This window comes from Homo sapiens, chromosome 10 (genome assembly GCF_000001405.40).
Source record: "Homo sapiens chromosome 10, GRCh38.p14 Primary Assembly".
NCBI lineage: Eukaryota > Metazoa > Chordata > Mammalia > Primates > Hominidae > Homo > Homo sapiens.
The window spans coordinates 42,734,130-42,750,475 of NC_000010.11; the positions used below are offsets into that span (position 1 = coordinate 42,734,130).

Here is a 16,346-nt window from a genome sequence, read left to right on the forward strand (position 1 = left end):
CGTATATTAAACAGTGTGATTTAAGCCATTCCATGATGGATTATACATATATCAGAAGTATCATGTTGTACACCATAGGTATGTACAATCTTCATTTGTCAATATAAATTTTACATAAATGATTTTTATAATTAAAAAAAAAATAGGATGGATGTGTTGACTCACACCTATGATCCCAGCATTCTGGGAGGCCAAAGTGGGAGGATGGCTCGAGCTCAGGAGTTTGAGACCAGCCCGGGCAACACGGCAAAAACCAATCTCTGCAAAAAATACAAACATTGGTGGGGTATGATGGTGTGCACCTGTGGTCCCAGCTACTTGGGAGGCTGAAGTGGAAGGATCGCTTGAGCCCATGGAGGTCAAGGCTGCAGTGACCCAAGATCGTGCCACTGCACTCCAGCCTGGGCAACAGAGCAAGGCCCTATCTCAAAAAAAATAAAAATAAAAATAAAGTATAAAGTGACTCTAGGATCATGGCACTCTCTTACACTTTCAGCCTGTGAAACTGAGGTGCCCTTGATAGTCTCTATAAATGTGTCTTTGGTGTCCTGATGTAGATTTTTGTCCCCCTGCAACAGCATGAACAGGCTGAACATTTCGCCACAAGGCTTTGGCTCCCTGCCAGCTCTTGAGGTTCTGGACTTGACTTACAACAACTTGAATGAAAATTATCTTCCTGGAAACTTCTTCTACCTGAGTAAGAAACTTTCAGTTCTATGAATCTCCTCAACATTATACTTTGCATTCTAAGAGTGAAATTTATTTGCCAGGACTTAAACTCCAAGAGAAATTATTGGACAGAGATAACTTTTTCTTTAGAGACTCCTTTTGAATATTCCTTCATAGCTCAGCGTATGTGCATTTGATATATCGTTATGTGACACCATTGGGCTGAAGTGGACTTAGTAAAGTCATATTAACATTCTGAGAGAGATGATATACCTAAATGAGATCAAACCTCACATTTAGCTAAGAGACTTGACTTTCTTTTTAAATAGCGTGCCAAAAAAAGATATCCTCCCATGTTGGTATTAATTCTTTGTACGATATTTTCCAGGATGTCCCAATCAATTAATTATAAAAATATTTATTAATAAACCACTAATGGAATTTTTAAATTTTCCAGCCAGGATTCTTATTTTCAGCCTTTTAAAAAGTACTCTTATTGACCTATTTATCCAGTACACAGGCATTAAGAAATTATTGGCCACAGGTGAACACACCTTATTCTTTTATATGCCAACAAATTTCTTGCTGAAGATGCTTTTGAAAATTAAAAAATGATTTCTTCTGGGAACTCATGCACTATTTCAGACAAGGTTTGTTTCTCTTAAATGAGTGTTCTATTTCTTCAATTAGTAACTTATATGGCATTCAGAAAATCTGAATTTTCTGAGCTGGTCTCTAAAATTTCACTTTTTGCCTTATGTACGTTCTCTCTCTGTGACTTTCTCAAGCACATGAAACCAACTGTAAAATATTTTCTTGGGTGGTGAAGCCCCTGTTTTTATTATGTTATATTAACATACAGTTCTGGAGTCTGAGCTCCAAAGATCACTTGAGGCTAGGAGTTTAAGACCAGCCTGGGCGACATAGAGAGACCCTGTCTCTAGAAACAAAAATTAAAAAATTAACCAGGCATAGTAGCATGTGCCTGTAATCTTAGCTAATTGGGAGGCTGAGGTAGGAAGATTGCTTGAGGCCAGGAATTTGAGGCTGCAGTGACCCACTGCACTCCAGTCTGGGTGACAGAACGAGACTCTGTCTCTAAAAAATAAATAAATACTGATAAACAAAACATACCTCTAATTATACTCAGCTTTTTTGGTTGAGGATAAACAGATGCTTTAGAATTTTAGCCTTCAATAGTTTGGAATCATATTATCATTGTGTAGTAATTGTGAACAAATTTCTGACTACTGATATTCTGCTTAAGTTAGGATTTACTCTGTTAACTTCATGCCATTATTTTAGTCCCTTTGTCTTCATTTACTTTTGTCCTTAAGGCTGTAGAAACAAGTAGTAATAATTAGTCAGATTATGGACTGATGAGCTGTAGTTATAGCCTCCATCACCAGAAAGCCTTTCATTAATTTTTAACACAATGCTATTTACATAGGAAAAAGTCTATTTTAACATAGTTGCATTCCCTTGAAAGAACCTTTTTGCCCTAGGTATCCACAAAAGTGGCACAGTAGTTTTCTTTGTTTTACTTTGGATGCAAATGGAGAAATAAATGTGAATCAAAAGTAATCTGTGAGAAAAATAGCAATCTTTTTTGAAAATGTGTTGAAACTCTGTGCCCCAAAATGCTAGTGCCTACGTTGTTAATTGTATCAGTCCTCTTGGATATAGATGTTTTCCTGGACACACCAGCTCCACAACAATAAGCCAGTAAATGTAAGTTTGACCTGCTTGTTATTATTGGGAGCCCTAGGTATGTCAAAGGCTTTTCACCAAGCCAGGGTTATTAATCAAAGCTGACTCCCTCGTATTGATCAGACCTCAAATGGTTGGGTTCCATGCCACCCTGTTTATATATTGCTGTTTAATTTGCAGCCACCCTGTGTGCACTCTATCTAAGTGACAACGATTTTGAAATCCTGCCGCCAGATATTGGGAAGCTCACAAAGTTGCAGATAGTAAGTAAGTTATCTAAATTCTTAGAGAATCAATTCACTGCTGCAGCCTTGTAGGGGTAGAATCAAGTCAATCTGAGAAGGAGTCAGGTTTGTTTTGCAGGAATAAACCACTGCTTCTGATAGTGTTTCTTGATTATCTGCCGGCGCTTGTAAATAAATGGAAAGGACTGAGCTGTGGTAGAAGAGAGGACATGGAGGAAGATGAGAGTTTCTGTGGAGCACCTTTTAATGTGAAAATGTGTTGACAACTCCCTGTTTTCTTCTGTTTAGCTCAGCAATAGGGATAACAACCTGATCTCACTGCCTAAGGAAATCAGGGTGCTTACCCAGCTTAAAGAGCTCCACATTCAGGGGAACCGCCTCACTGTTCTACCCCCAGAATTAGGTAAGTTTGCTGATGAATGAACTTAGTTCTGGGTTTCATGAGTAACAATTATCCTAATGTAGCAATTCTGAACAACCTCTCTCCTCTTCTTGGCAACTGCTCTCCACCTAGACACCCAGTTCTGATCATTTGAGAACCATTTGTCATTGACCAGAGTTCAGCTGCTATAGGTTTGACCTTCCCCGATGCTGTGTTCTGCAGCTGTAGTCTCCCGTGTCTTAGAAACTGCTGATGAAAGATGACCCTGCTCAGCTCCCTGCATGATGTAGTGGAAAAAGCATGGGGTTAGTAGTAAGAGCCTTATGCATGGCTCCTCGTTGACTAGCTGGGTAAGCTTTCTGGGTCTTGGTTGTTATTGATAACTTTATCGAAGTATCACTCTTACTTTTTAACCCCTTACTTTTTTATTGACCTAGAAAAACTTTTAGCAAAGAATTAAAGTAGTTGTTATGGCTACTTGAAGATGTTGATACCTCTCCTGGTCGTGAATTTGCCTCTCTCCTGATCCCATTTCTAGTAGGAATTGTTAAATATGTTCTTGCTGGGAATGGGTCCTACTTCTGGCCACTGAATCCTAATCCTCTAACAAGTCATTCCTATTTCCGGAGTGGGTTTATGTCCCCCGCCAGAAGTAACCTCCAAGCCAGTCATTCTGTTACTGCTTCATTCCACTGCAAAAGGTTCCCAAGTTCCCTTATCTTTTCCTGTGCAGACCCTCAATAGCCTCTAATTTCTTTAATCCTTTGAACCACATTGTTTTCTCAAACTGCGGTTATTTGCTTTTCTGCCCCAAAATACCATCATTTTTAAGAAACACATTAAGGAAGCAGTTCTTTAAACAAGTCTGGCAGTTTGAAGAGGCCATTTGTTAGAAATTAGAATGCAAGCACCAGGAGGGCAGAGGCATTTTCGCATTTGTTCCCTGGGGTGCAGTACTTGCTCAGAAAACATTGACTGAATGAATGAAAGAAGCAAGGACCTTGGATGGCAAGAGGTTAGGAAGGTTATGAGCAGGCCGATGGGGCTAATGGTTACGCATAGGAAGACTGAGACACAGAGCACACCCATCAGCACTGAGAGTTCTGTTGGCAGCCTTATTAGTCTAAAGGGAAGGCAGTCACATGATTTCATGGAACAGATGGAAAGTCCCGCCTCCTCCCTTCCCATTTCCCTTAACTCTCTTGTTAGTGTTAAAAGACCAGAGGTTTATTTAATTATTTTTAAGGGCTGAGGAGCAACTCAACATTTCTCTTTATTGAGTTGCAAGCAGTCAAGTTTTGTTTTGGGAGCAGGGTTACAGAATCAAGAAACACTTTTTGCGAACAATTTCAAGGCAAAAAGCTTCTTGTCAAAGGAGAGATCTTGGGCTGGACACGGTGGCTCACACTTGTAATCTCAGCACTTTGGGAGGCCGAAGCGGGTGGGTTGCTTGAGCCCAGGAGTTTGAGACCAGCCTGGGCAACATGGTGAAACCCCATCTCTACAAAAAGTACAAAAAATTAGCTGGGCATTGTGGTGCATGCCTGTAGTCCCAGCTACTCAGGAGGCTGAGGTGAGAGGATCACCTAAGCCTGGGAGGTCAAAGCTGCGGTGAGCCATGATTGTGCCACTGCACTCCAGCCTGGGTGACAGAACAAGACCGTGTTGAAAGGGGGAAAAAAAAAAGAGAGATCTTGCACAGTGGTTAATAACCACAGGTGTTATCATTAGTAACAGCTGGGGAGCTTCTACAGAACTCAAACACTTGCTTCCTCCCCAGCCTACTAAATCAGGATCTCCATGTGTGAGGTGAATTCTTGTGTAACTTGGTGTAAAGCTCACTTAATGCCTCTGACATGTGTCCTTGGTTAGCGTGGTTAGTAGAAACAGAAAAATAAATGTATATTTTGATGTCATTTGATCTTATTTCATTTTTCAAGCAGTGAGGCAATGTAGGATATTAGATTAAACAATTATTTTATCAGACAGTAATTTGCCAGAAAAATGTCTAGTTGAACCTACACGTGCCTATGTATATATTTTAAAATGTTACTCATTTTGCTTATCTTATTTAAATACTATATGAGGTCATCTTTGTTCAACATTTCTGTTAAGCTTTCCATTAACAACTCATGTATATTTTTATTCAGGTGTAGAATTGAGGGGGAAGGCTTTAAATGACTTTATTTTTGCCAGCCATATGTAGAAAAGCTTAATCTTAACATTTGCCTGATAGCAGGTTTTCCTGATTATAGGCAAACACTTAGTTGTAAGTAAATGATAAACCTTTAGAAGTCACTGTCACGAGCTAAACTCAAGATGAAGACAAATGTACTATTTATTTTTGAATGGTGATTTTTTTTAAAAGTCAACATTAATATAATACTAATATAGTAACAGCTATTATAATAATAGGTAGTGTGTATTAAGGCCTGGAATTGCAAGGCACTAAGATAAGTGTTTTTCCTGCAATGTCGCCTACAATTATCATAAGAATTATAAGCAGACTTTTTAGAGGTGAGGACGTTGAGGTGTAGAGAGGGTTGGTTGGTGACATGTCTGTGGGGGACACAGCTAGTGAGTCACAGAGGTGAGATTTGAACCTGACAGTCCCTCCTCTGGGTCCAGCTTCCTCATCACGGTGTGGTCCTCTTTCCCACCCATATGCTGGTAAAAGGATTCCTAGAAATGCAGTTTTCAAGTTTGAACAAAACACAACCCTGGCACACCCCCCCAAAAAAAGCAGGCAGAGAGATGTTGCTGGATGGTGAGTTGGCATGGGCTTTGCTGGTGTGTGAGCAAGGCTAGCATAACACTTTGCAAAATGCAGCTGAGATGGCCTCTGGAAGACAAATTGCTGCCCCATTCCAAGTCAGTTGCATTGTCCCCATGTCTCTTTCCCCTCAACAAACATGACCCCCGATGGGAACGTCTTTTTTGTTTCTTTGTGTCCCCAACACCTGAGGTGACCATATGGATGCTGCTCTGGGCTGGCTGATGGGCAGTGCCGGGCACTGATGATGCACATGAAGTTTATGCTGCAGGTTTGCTTCTGGGGGTGTTTTAAAGCATGGATGATGATATCTCCCTGTATATTTTTTATGTATCTGAATATACAAGATAAATGCTTTTGAGATTTCTGTGAAATTTCCTTTCATAATAAATCCAGAGTTTATTAACTTGTAACCTTTTTGGTACTAATATTTCAGCCAAGCAAGAGAATCTAGATAAGTTCTGATTTGTCAGGTCTGAGAACATGCAGGGACACAGCAAAATAAAGTCAGGGGCTTAGCTGGAGTTTTAATATGTGACTGTATTACTTTCCCTTTATTGTGTGTCCTTGAATAAGCCACTTAAACCGTTATGTCTGATTTCTAAGTAGTAAAGCACTGCTTTCATATTAGTCTTTATACCTATCAAAAATGAGATGTAAGTTGAGTCTCTCCTGTACCCATTCATTCATTTATTTATTCAGGTTAAGTTCCTACTTTAGGGCAGATCTTTGAGTCCAAGGAAATTGCTTTTCCATTAAAGTAAGATTCACTTATTCAACAACTGTTTGTTGAGCCCCTGGTATTTGCTAAGGATTATGACAAGAGACAGAACACCCGTTATTGATGATGTTCTAGTGGGAGAGGACAGAAGAAAGAAAGAGAGAGAGAAAGAAAGAATATGAATGACAGACGTGTGATATTAAGAGCTCTGGGAAAAAATTGAGCATGGAAGGGAGTGTCCAGCTGGGGAAGGGGTAATCAGAGAAACCCTCACTCATAGGGTGGTTCCCTTTATGCAGAGACTTAAAGGAAGGAGGGAGGTCTCCTGACAGAGAGAACGGTAAGTGCAAATGTCCTGGATGGGCTTGTGCTGAGGAAGAGCAAGGCCGGGTACCTGGAACAGAGTGAGTGAAGGGGAAAGAGTTGTAACCAATGAGCTTATACAGGAAGTGGGGTCTGGTTCACATGGGAACTAGTAGGACATTGTCAGAACTTGGGCTTTTACTCTGTGTGAAATGGACACCCCCACAGATGCTCCCATCTTAATCACCAGAATATGAGAATCTGTATTGGTGAAACCCGCCCCCAATATTTCAACGTAGGTTCTTTCTATTTTCCATAAGTGTCGGCTGGCTGAGAAATAAAGAGAGACAGTATAAAGAGAGGAATTTTACAGCTGGGCCACCGGGGGTGACATCACATATCGGTAGGACTGTGATGCCCACCTGAGTCTCAGACCAGCAAGTTTTTATTAAGGGTTTCAAAAGGGGAGGGGGTGTAAGAACAGGGAGTAGGTACAAAGATCACATGCTTCAAAGGGCAAAAAGCAGAATTACTAATAGGGTCTAACAAAGATCACATGCTTTTGAGGGAACAGGACAAAAGGCAACAGCAGAACCACTGATAAGGGTCTATGTTCAGCGGTGCACGTATTGTCTTGATAAACATCTTAAACAACAGAAAACAGGGTTCAAGAGCAGAGAACCGGTCAGACCACAAATTTACCAGGGCGGAGATTTTCCCCACCCTAGTAAGCCTGAGGGTACTGCAGGAGACCAGGGCGTATCTCAGTCCTTATCTCAACAGCATAAGACAGACATTCCCAGAGCAGCCATTTATAGACCTCCCCCCAGGAATGCATTCCTTTCCCAGAGTATTAATAATAATATTCCTTGCTAGGAAAAGAATTTAGCGATATCTTCCCTACTTGCACATCCATTTATAGGCTCTTTGCAAGAAGAAAAATATGGCTCTTTTTGCCCAACCCCGCAGGCAGTCAGACCTTATGGTTGTCTTCCCTTGTTCCCTAAAAATCGCTGTTATTCTGTTCTTTTTCAAGGTGCACTGATTTCATACTCTTCAACCACACATGTTTTACAATCAATTTGTACAGTTAACACAATTATCACAGTGGTCCTGAGGTGACGTACATCCTCAGCTTACGAAGATAACAGGATTAAGAGATTAAAGACAGGCATAAGAAATTATAAAAGTATTATATGGGAACTGATAAATGTCCATATTAAAATGAAATCTTCACAATTTATGTTCCTCTGCCACAACTCCAGCTGGTCCCTCCGTTCGGGGTCCCTGAGTTCCCACAACAGAAGAGTTTTAGGATGTCTTCCATTAACCCTTATAACTAAGTGTTTTTTAGAAAAAAATGAAAGTTTAAGGAACTGTTTAGATTTTTTTCAAGAATATTTCATAGACAACATTATGTTTTTCTACCCAAACATTATTTCTAGTTGTCTTTCTTTTTGTGATATTAGCAGCTGTTTTGAATTATTTTGCCAACTTGGCAGCAACCACTACAGTTTTCTAAAACTAAGAAGCCTGTATTCTAGAACTCTCTTCCCTAAATGAATCCTCATAAAATTTGCAAATAGAGAAAATTCACACACAATTCCAAAGACAAAAGTAAAGCCGAAGTCACTGTGAGCAATTTTTGGCAGCCAGGCATGGAGACTTTCACAGCTTTTAACAAGTTTCTTCTCAGCAATTCTAGCATCCAGATATAGCCCCATCATAGACCTCGCATGAGCATGTACTTCATAATCCTGGTGAATACAGAAGTTTCCTGGACTCTTCATGAGCTGTTGCTTTCCCTCCTATATCAGTGTTTTCAGCTGAGGCCATTTGTGATTGTGTTTCTGACTTTCTGTAGGCAACCTGCCAAACCTTCATTTTTTTTTCTGCTTAGATGCACAAGAATGTAGGCACTAATTCTTATATTAAACTGTTTATTTCTATAATACTTAATTGGCTGTTTTCCTGGCTGAACCAAACCAAGAGCAGCAGGGATGATAACTTCCAAAACTGATTAAATTAGAGGTCAAGAAATTGAGCCATTTTAATTCTATTATTCTTCTTTCATATATTAAATAGAAAACTTTTGTAGATAGTTTTTCTTCATTATTTCTTTGGTTACCCTGAGGTACTGCTTGTAGAGAAAAGGTAGAATAAATATGGGATTCTTTCCCTTTATTTACCATTTTCTATTTATCAGTTACTTTTTTATTTACCAGTTTTCTAAGTAGTATTCTGCTTTCCTAAAATCCTAGAAAGCACTTGAAGAAATTAAAAATGGGTTGATTTTTTTTTCTTTTTTGAGAGAGAGTCTTGCTCTGTCGCCCAGGCTGGAGTGCAGTGGCAAGATCTCAGCTCACTGCAAGCTCCATCTCCCAGATTCACACCATTATCCTGCCTCAGCCTCCCAAGTAGCTGGGACTACAGGCACCCACCACCATGCTCAGCTAATTTTTTTGTATTTTTAGTAGAGATGGGGTTTCATCGTGTTAGGTAGGATGGTCTCGATCTCCTGACCTCATGATCTGCCTGCCTTTGCCTCCCAAAATGCTAGGATTATAGGTGTGAGCCACCATGCCTGGCCAAAAATGGGTTGATTTTTCAAAAATAAATGTTGGGAATTATTCTCCTGCCTCTTCTCAGTCTAATGAAATTTTTCTGTAAGATATTGCATTTTTAAGTACTCGAATTTTAATTTTTTTAAGTTTTTATCTCTACTGAGATTTCACACATGTTTACTCAATATTATTATTATTTCAGTCCTTGAGCATATCTATAATATAGTAGTATCCCCTTATTTGTGGCTTTACTTTCCTCACTTTCAGTCACCCACAGTCAAAAAATATTAAATATAAAACTCCAGAAGTAAACAGTTTATAAGTTTTAAGTCATGCATTGTTCTGAGAAATGTGATGCAACCTCCCGCCATTCTGCTGTATCCGGTTCAGGATGCGACATATCCCTTTGCTGGGCAGATCCACACTTCCTGCTTCCTGCTCATTAGACATTTGCAGCCATCTAAGTTATCAGATGGACCTAGCTTAGTGTAGCAGTGTTTGTGTTCAAGTAACCCTTATTTTATTTAGTAATGGTCCCAATATGCAAGAGTAGTGATGCTGGCAATTCAGATATGCAAAAGAGAAACCTGAAAATGCTTTCAGTAACTGAAAAGCAGAAAGTTTTCCACTTAGTGAGGAAAAAAAATATGCTGAGGTCGCTAACAACTAGGGTAAGAATTAATCTTTTATTTGTAAAATTGTGGAAAAGGAAAAATAAATTATTGCTAGTTTTGCTTTTGTACCTCAAACTGCAAAAGCTACAGCCACAGTGTGTGGTAAGTGCTAAGGTAGGGTTTGGTATTATCCATGGTTTAAGAGATCCACGGAGGTCTTCCAAAGTACGCCCCACAGGTAAAGGGGGAGTACTGCAGTCTTTTAATGCTAATTCCAATATCTGGATGATGTATTTATTCTATTGACTGCATGCTTTAATATCATTATAAGCTTGATGATTTAAACATCAGGTGTGCACCTGCTCATTGCAGTCATCATCATCATCATCATCATCATCATCATTATTTTTGTTTGTTTGGGTTTTTTTGAGATGAATCTTGCTTTATGGCCCAGGCTGGACTGCAGTGGCATGATCAAAGCTCACTGCAGCCTCAGACTCCTGGGCTTAGGTGACCCTGCCACCTCAGCCTCTCAAGTAGCTGAGACTACAGGCACATGCTACCATGCCTGCCTAATTTTTTTGTTTTCTATTTTTGGCAGACAGAGGGTTTTACCATGTTGCCCAGCCTTGTCTTGAACATCTGGGCTAAAGCAATCCATCTGTTTTAGCTTCCCAAAGTGTTGGGCTTACAGGTGTGAACCACCATGGCTGGCTTGTGGTCATCATTATTATTGATGCTTATATTAGTTCATGTTTGGATAGTGGGACCTCCTTCAAGTTGCCTCTCAGATCCTATGGACATGATCCTGGGGGGTATAAACGTGCCCTTGCTTTCCAGTATGACAAGATGCTCTAGACTGATTTTGCACATTGCCTGCCTGCAGCCAGAAAGCAGCCATTTCTCCAAAAAGCTTTGGTTCCTTTTAGTGAGTGATGATATGGAGAATCCAAAGTTATGGCACCAAGGAGCTTTCTGCTTCTGTTTTGTTTAATGCTTCTAGGACTTTTCAGTGGATTAGTCTAAAAGATAAGTGCATTTTTTAATAAAAAATTATAATTTTTAAGTAAACCTTTCTGTTAACAGTCTTGATTAGAGGATTTTAATTATGCTTAGAGATAATACATCTGTATCTTCTTCTATTTCATTTGAAAAGCACCAGTTTTCAATGTCACACCCATAATGAGTCAGAGTCTAGCTCTGTCGCCCAGGCTGGAGTGCAGTGGTGTGATCTCAGCTCACTGCAACCTCCAACTCCCAGGTTCAAGCAATTCCCTACCTCAGCTTCCAGAGTAGCTGGGATTACAGGCACATGCCACCACACCTGGCTATTTTTTGTATGTTTAGTAGAGATGGAGTTTCACCATCTTGGCCAGGCTGGTCTTGAACTCCTGACCTTGTGATCCACCTGCCTCGGTCTCCCAAAGTGCTGGGATTACGGGCATGAGCCACTGCGCCCGGCCTTTTTTTTTTTTTTTTAAGACCCAGTCTCGCTCTGTTGCCCAGGCTGGAGTGCAGTGGCCTGATCTCGGCTCACTGCAACCTCTGCCTCCCAGGTTGAAGCAATTCTCTGCCTCAGCCTCCTTAGTAAATGGAATTACAGGTGCTTACCACCACGCCTGGCTAATTTTCTTTTTTTTTTTTTTTTTTTGAGACTGAATCTCACTCCGTTGCCCAGGCTGGAGGGCAGTCGCGTGATCTCGGCTCACTGCAACCTCCATCTCAAGTGATCCTCCCGCCTCCATCTCCTAAAGTACTGGGATTATAGGCATGAGCCATCACACCCAGTCAATATAACTTTATATTCACAAGGAAACAAAACAATTTGTTTGACTCGCTTTATAGCAATATTTGCTTTATTGTGATGGTCTGGAACCAAATCCACAATATCTTTGAGGTATGGCTGCACTTTCTAAGCATTTCCTGAGTCAGCCTACTTTTTCTCCATTTTATTGCCATTATTCTATCCATCTTTTTGTTTTCTTGTTGTTGTCTGGAAACAGAAAAGTGCTGTGTCGCCCAGGCTGGAGTGCCGTAGTACGATCATAGCTCACTGCCGCCTCGATCTCCTGTGTCCAAACTATCCTCTTGCCTCAGGCTTCTGAGTAGCTGAGGCTACAGATGCACGCTACCACACCTGGTTTTTGTTTTGTTTTGTTTTGTTTTGTTTTTGAGACAGAGTCTCGCTCTGTCGCCCAGGCTGGAGTGCAGTGGCGCGATCTCGGCTCACTGCAAGCTCCGCCTCCTGGGTTCACGCCATTCTCCTGCCTCAGCCTCCCGAGTAGCTGGGACTACAGGCGCCCGCCACCATGCCCGGCCAATTTTTTGTATTTTTAGTAGAGACGGCGTTTCATCGTGTTAACCAGGACAGTCTTGAGCTCCTGACCTCGTAATCCGCCCACCTCGGCCTCCCAAAGTGCTGGGATTACAGGCGTGAGCCGCCGCTCCCTGCCCGGCTCATTTTTAAAAAGACGTTTGTAGAGATGGGGTCTCATCATGTTGCCCAAGCTGATCTGGAACTCCTGGCCTCAAACAATCCTCCCGCCTCAGATTCCTGAGTAGCTAGGATCAATCCATTGCTGAAGAGTACATGGATGTTACTTTGCAGACTGTCAACCTGAATTCGTGTTTGCTTGACATTGCCTAATTATTAGTTTCAGTTTCAGCTTACCCACTTTTTGTCAGCAACATGCAGAAAAGACTGTGCCCTTTTTAGTGTATTGTATCAGGAAGCATCTCACATTGGTTTGTGCCGTTACTGGTGCGGTGACTACCAGCCACTTGGTTAAGATGGAGTTGGCCATATTTCTCCACTGCAAAATTACGCATTTTCCTTTTGTAATTAATAACTGTGTGTGAGAAAATTCTTTGAGATGAGGTATATATCTCATTCTTTGTCAAACTATAAGGTTTTTTTTAAGTGAAAGAAAATTTATTAAGAAACTAAAGGAATAAAAGAAAGGCTACTCCATAGGCAGAGCAGCGTCACTTTAAGGTTTTGCTGTCAACTGATTTTTGTCCAAATCAATAATTACTGCGATGATTGAAAAATGATTATTACTAAGTTTATTTTCATTGTCTCAAGTTCTGCCAAACTCTGGATCCAGGCTGTGTCAATAGGGTAGTGTGGTGCCTCCTATACCTGTCTCGGCCTCCTACAGTCCTTTTTATTTATTTTGTTTTTTATTATAGAGACAGGGTCTTACTATGCTGCCCAGACTGGTTTCAAACTCCTGGGCTCAAGCAATCTTCTTGCCTCAGTCTCCCAAAGTGCTGAGATTACAAGCGTGAGCCACCACACCCGGCCAAGTTCTTTACCATCTTCAGAAGGCTTAACTTGCACTTTCAGCAAAAGGATAGATTCCCAGGAAGACTGTGAGAGAGAGTTGGGGCCTAAGTTGATAATACCAAATACACTGAACTTGACTGTGTTCACCATGTTATGGCTCTAGAGAAATGAGAGTGCTAGTGAGGTTGGTGTCATTTTGTGTGTTTTCTGTACCTTGAAGTCCCTCAGAAATCTTGCCCCTGGTCTTCTTGTTCTAAGAACACAACAGTTTCTCTTTTTCTGTGGAGATGAAATATAGATCTTTGATTTTGGAACCAAATTTGGACTCTTGACTCTGGAGCACCAATTTCTTCAGCAAGTTGTTCTCTGGAATCAATCCCAGGGTATGGGTTTATCATAAATGCCTTGATGAGAGTGTGTAATTGAGAGGCGCTATAGGTGGTATGACACTGTCTGGCTTCTCTACTTTGAAATTCCACACCAGGTTGATCTTGCCCATGGCTGTGGCTTGAATCTAAAGTCAGGTTCTGGTCTTTTCTGGAATCTGTGCCTAGCTCTTCAATTCTGGGTGACAGAGCGAGACTCTGTCTCAAAAAAAAAAAAAAAAAAAAAAAAAAAAAGGCCAGGCGCGGTGGCTCATGCCTGTAATCCCAGCACTTTGGAAGATGGAGATGGAGGTGGGTGGATCATGAGGTCAGGAGTTCAAGACCAGCCTGGCCAAGATGGTGAAACTCCATCTCTACTAAAAATACAAAAAAATAGCCAGGTGTGGTGGTGTGTGCCTGTAATCCCAGCTACTCCGGAGGCTGAGGTAGGGAATTGCTTGAACCTGGGAGTTGGAGATTGCAGTGAGCTGAGATCATGCCACTGCACTCCAGCCTGGGCAACAGAGCTAGACTCTGCCTCATTATGGGTGTGACATTGAAAAGTGGTACTTTTCAAATGAAATAGAAGAAGATACAGATGTATTATCTCTAAGCATAATTAAAATCCTCTAATCAAGACTGTTAACAGAAAGGTTTACTTAAAAATTATACATTTTTATTAAAAATTTTAAAAATACACTTATCATTTAGACTAACCCACTGAAAAGTCTTAGAAGCATTAAACAAGCCTTCTGGACTCTTCTGTATTGATTTCTAAAGCAAGTTTTTGTTTCATAGCATAACCTGGGTAAGATTTTTGATTGGAGGTATTGATGAGGATTTTCAATTGATCTTCTGTGAATTTGGTGTGATTGCACCTATGATTTGCTGCTACCATCTTGTGTGAAGAGGTGTCTTTGGCCATGATGGAAGAGAGTCCTGGAGGCTGAGCTACTGTCTGGGAGACCACTTACAGCTCATTTTTAAAAAGAAAGGTTGCATATAATACAACATAATTTACAAATCTAAAGCTTATGGTTTTCTGGGCTTTGACAAATGAAAACACCTGTGCAACTTCAACCCTTACCAGGATATGCATGAGTTTCTACCTGAAATCACCAGTATTCTAACAAACAGCTTTGCGTTTTTTGAATTGTTCAGTGCCTGTGAGGATTCCTTACTGCAAGTTTATGAAAAATATATTCAGAAGGCATAGTCTACAATTACTGTTTGGGTAAGTGTTTTCATCAATTGTCTGAATATTTGCTGTGAATTTAAGTATGCTGATTTTTATGTAGTTATCCTCGGAGAAACATTGTGCCATTTTTCGTGTGGAAACCACTTGTAGAATAAACAGAGATTATTACCGCACGGAGTTGGTTGTGATGGGCACGTCTACCTGTGGCTGCCATTTGAGTGGAAGGTGGAATCCGACTCTGGATCATCGGCAGCCTGAGCTGGTACTGGGCTCACACTGACCCTGGGAGTGCTCTATGCGTGCTTCACCTTATGAGGGGTGCAGCAGGAACAAAAATAGAAAAGTGTGCTCTACTTTCACATGTTACCAAGGGACAGAGGATACCACCAAGGAATTAGAAAACTGTTAAGTGAGGATGTATTCTTCTTAATAGCCTTTCAAACAAGGAATTTGAAAACAAGATTCTACTCATCCCACACCAAAATGTAAACAGATATATTATTTTTTATATTCCCAGGATAATTTTGGTTTTACTTAAGCATCACTATTGCCCTGAAATGTCAAGTCAAGTGGAAAAATAAATGCGAATAATCCCACCACTAGCCTCCAGACTTGATGTTTATGTTATTTCCTTTTTAAAATGACCTTTAAAAAGTTATAAATTAGAAACGTGGAAAGTAGAATGGTTTCATGCAAGAAATACTGGAATAAGATCCCTGTTCTGGCCCCAAAGTCTTAGACAAGTCATTCAGCCTTTCTAAGCGTCAGTTCTCCCATCTGGAAAATGTGGGCATTCATCTCTATGGGAGCTTCTAGCTCTGTCAGTGAGTTTCTGAAACTTGCCCAGGAAGGAGCAGCCCTAGTCTGAGTGCATGCTGCCCCTGTGCTTGCCTTTTGCCTCCTTCTTATCCTCGAGGTAGCCTGCAGACTCCTCCTCATTCATCTCCTAAGCCAGTGCTATCTGACGGCAGGGAATATGTTTCCAATTCTGGTCACATCTGAAAGAAATTTTTCCTGGAAGATTACATCTATGACCTGCAAAGCTTTATGCTTCTCTCTGTATTCCAGATCTTGTGTTTTTTTTTTTTATATGGGAAAAGTTACAATTTTTTTTTTTTGAGACAGAGTTTCGCTCTTGTCACCCAGCTGGAGTCCAATGGCGTGATCTCAGCTCACTGCAACCTCTGCCTCCTGGGTTCAAGCGATTCTCCTGCCTCAGCCTCCTGAGTAGCTGGGATTACAGGCACCTGCCACCACGCCCAGCTATTTTTTGTATTTTTAGTAGACACGAGGTTTCATCATTTTGGCCGGGCTGGTCTCAAACTGCTGACCTCAGGTGATCCACCCACCTCAGCCTCCCAAAGTGCTGGGATTACAAGCGTGAGCCACCACACCTGGCACGATTATGTCTTTTTAAATGAGAAAAATTTCTTGAGATCATAAGGGAAAAAAAAAATCCCTAAGCCAAAGTAAGTCAACCAAGAAGAAAATGAAAATGAAAATGAAAAAAATA

At 40.8% G+C, this 16,346-nt stretch overlaps 2 pseudogenes; one reads left to right on the forward strand and one right to left on the reverse strand.

Moving 5' to 3' along the window:
• On the forward strand, nt 578-4,691 carry RSU1P1 (Ras suppressor protein 1 pseudogene 1; annotated as a pseudogene).
• DUXAP3 (double homeobox A pseudogene 3) lies at nt 13,025-14,602 on the reverse strand (annotated as a pseudogene).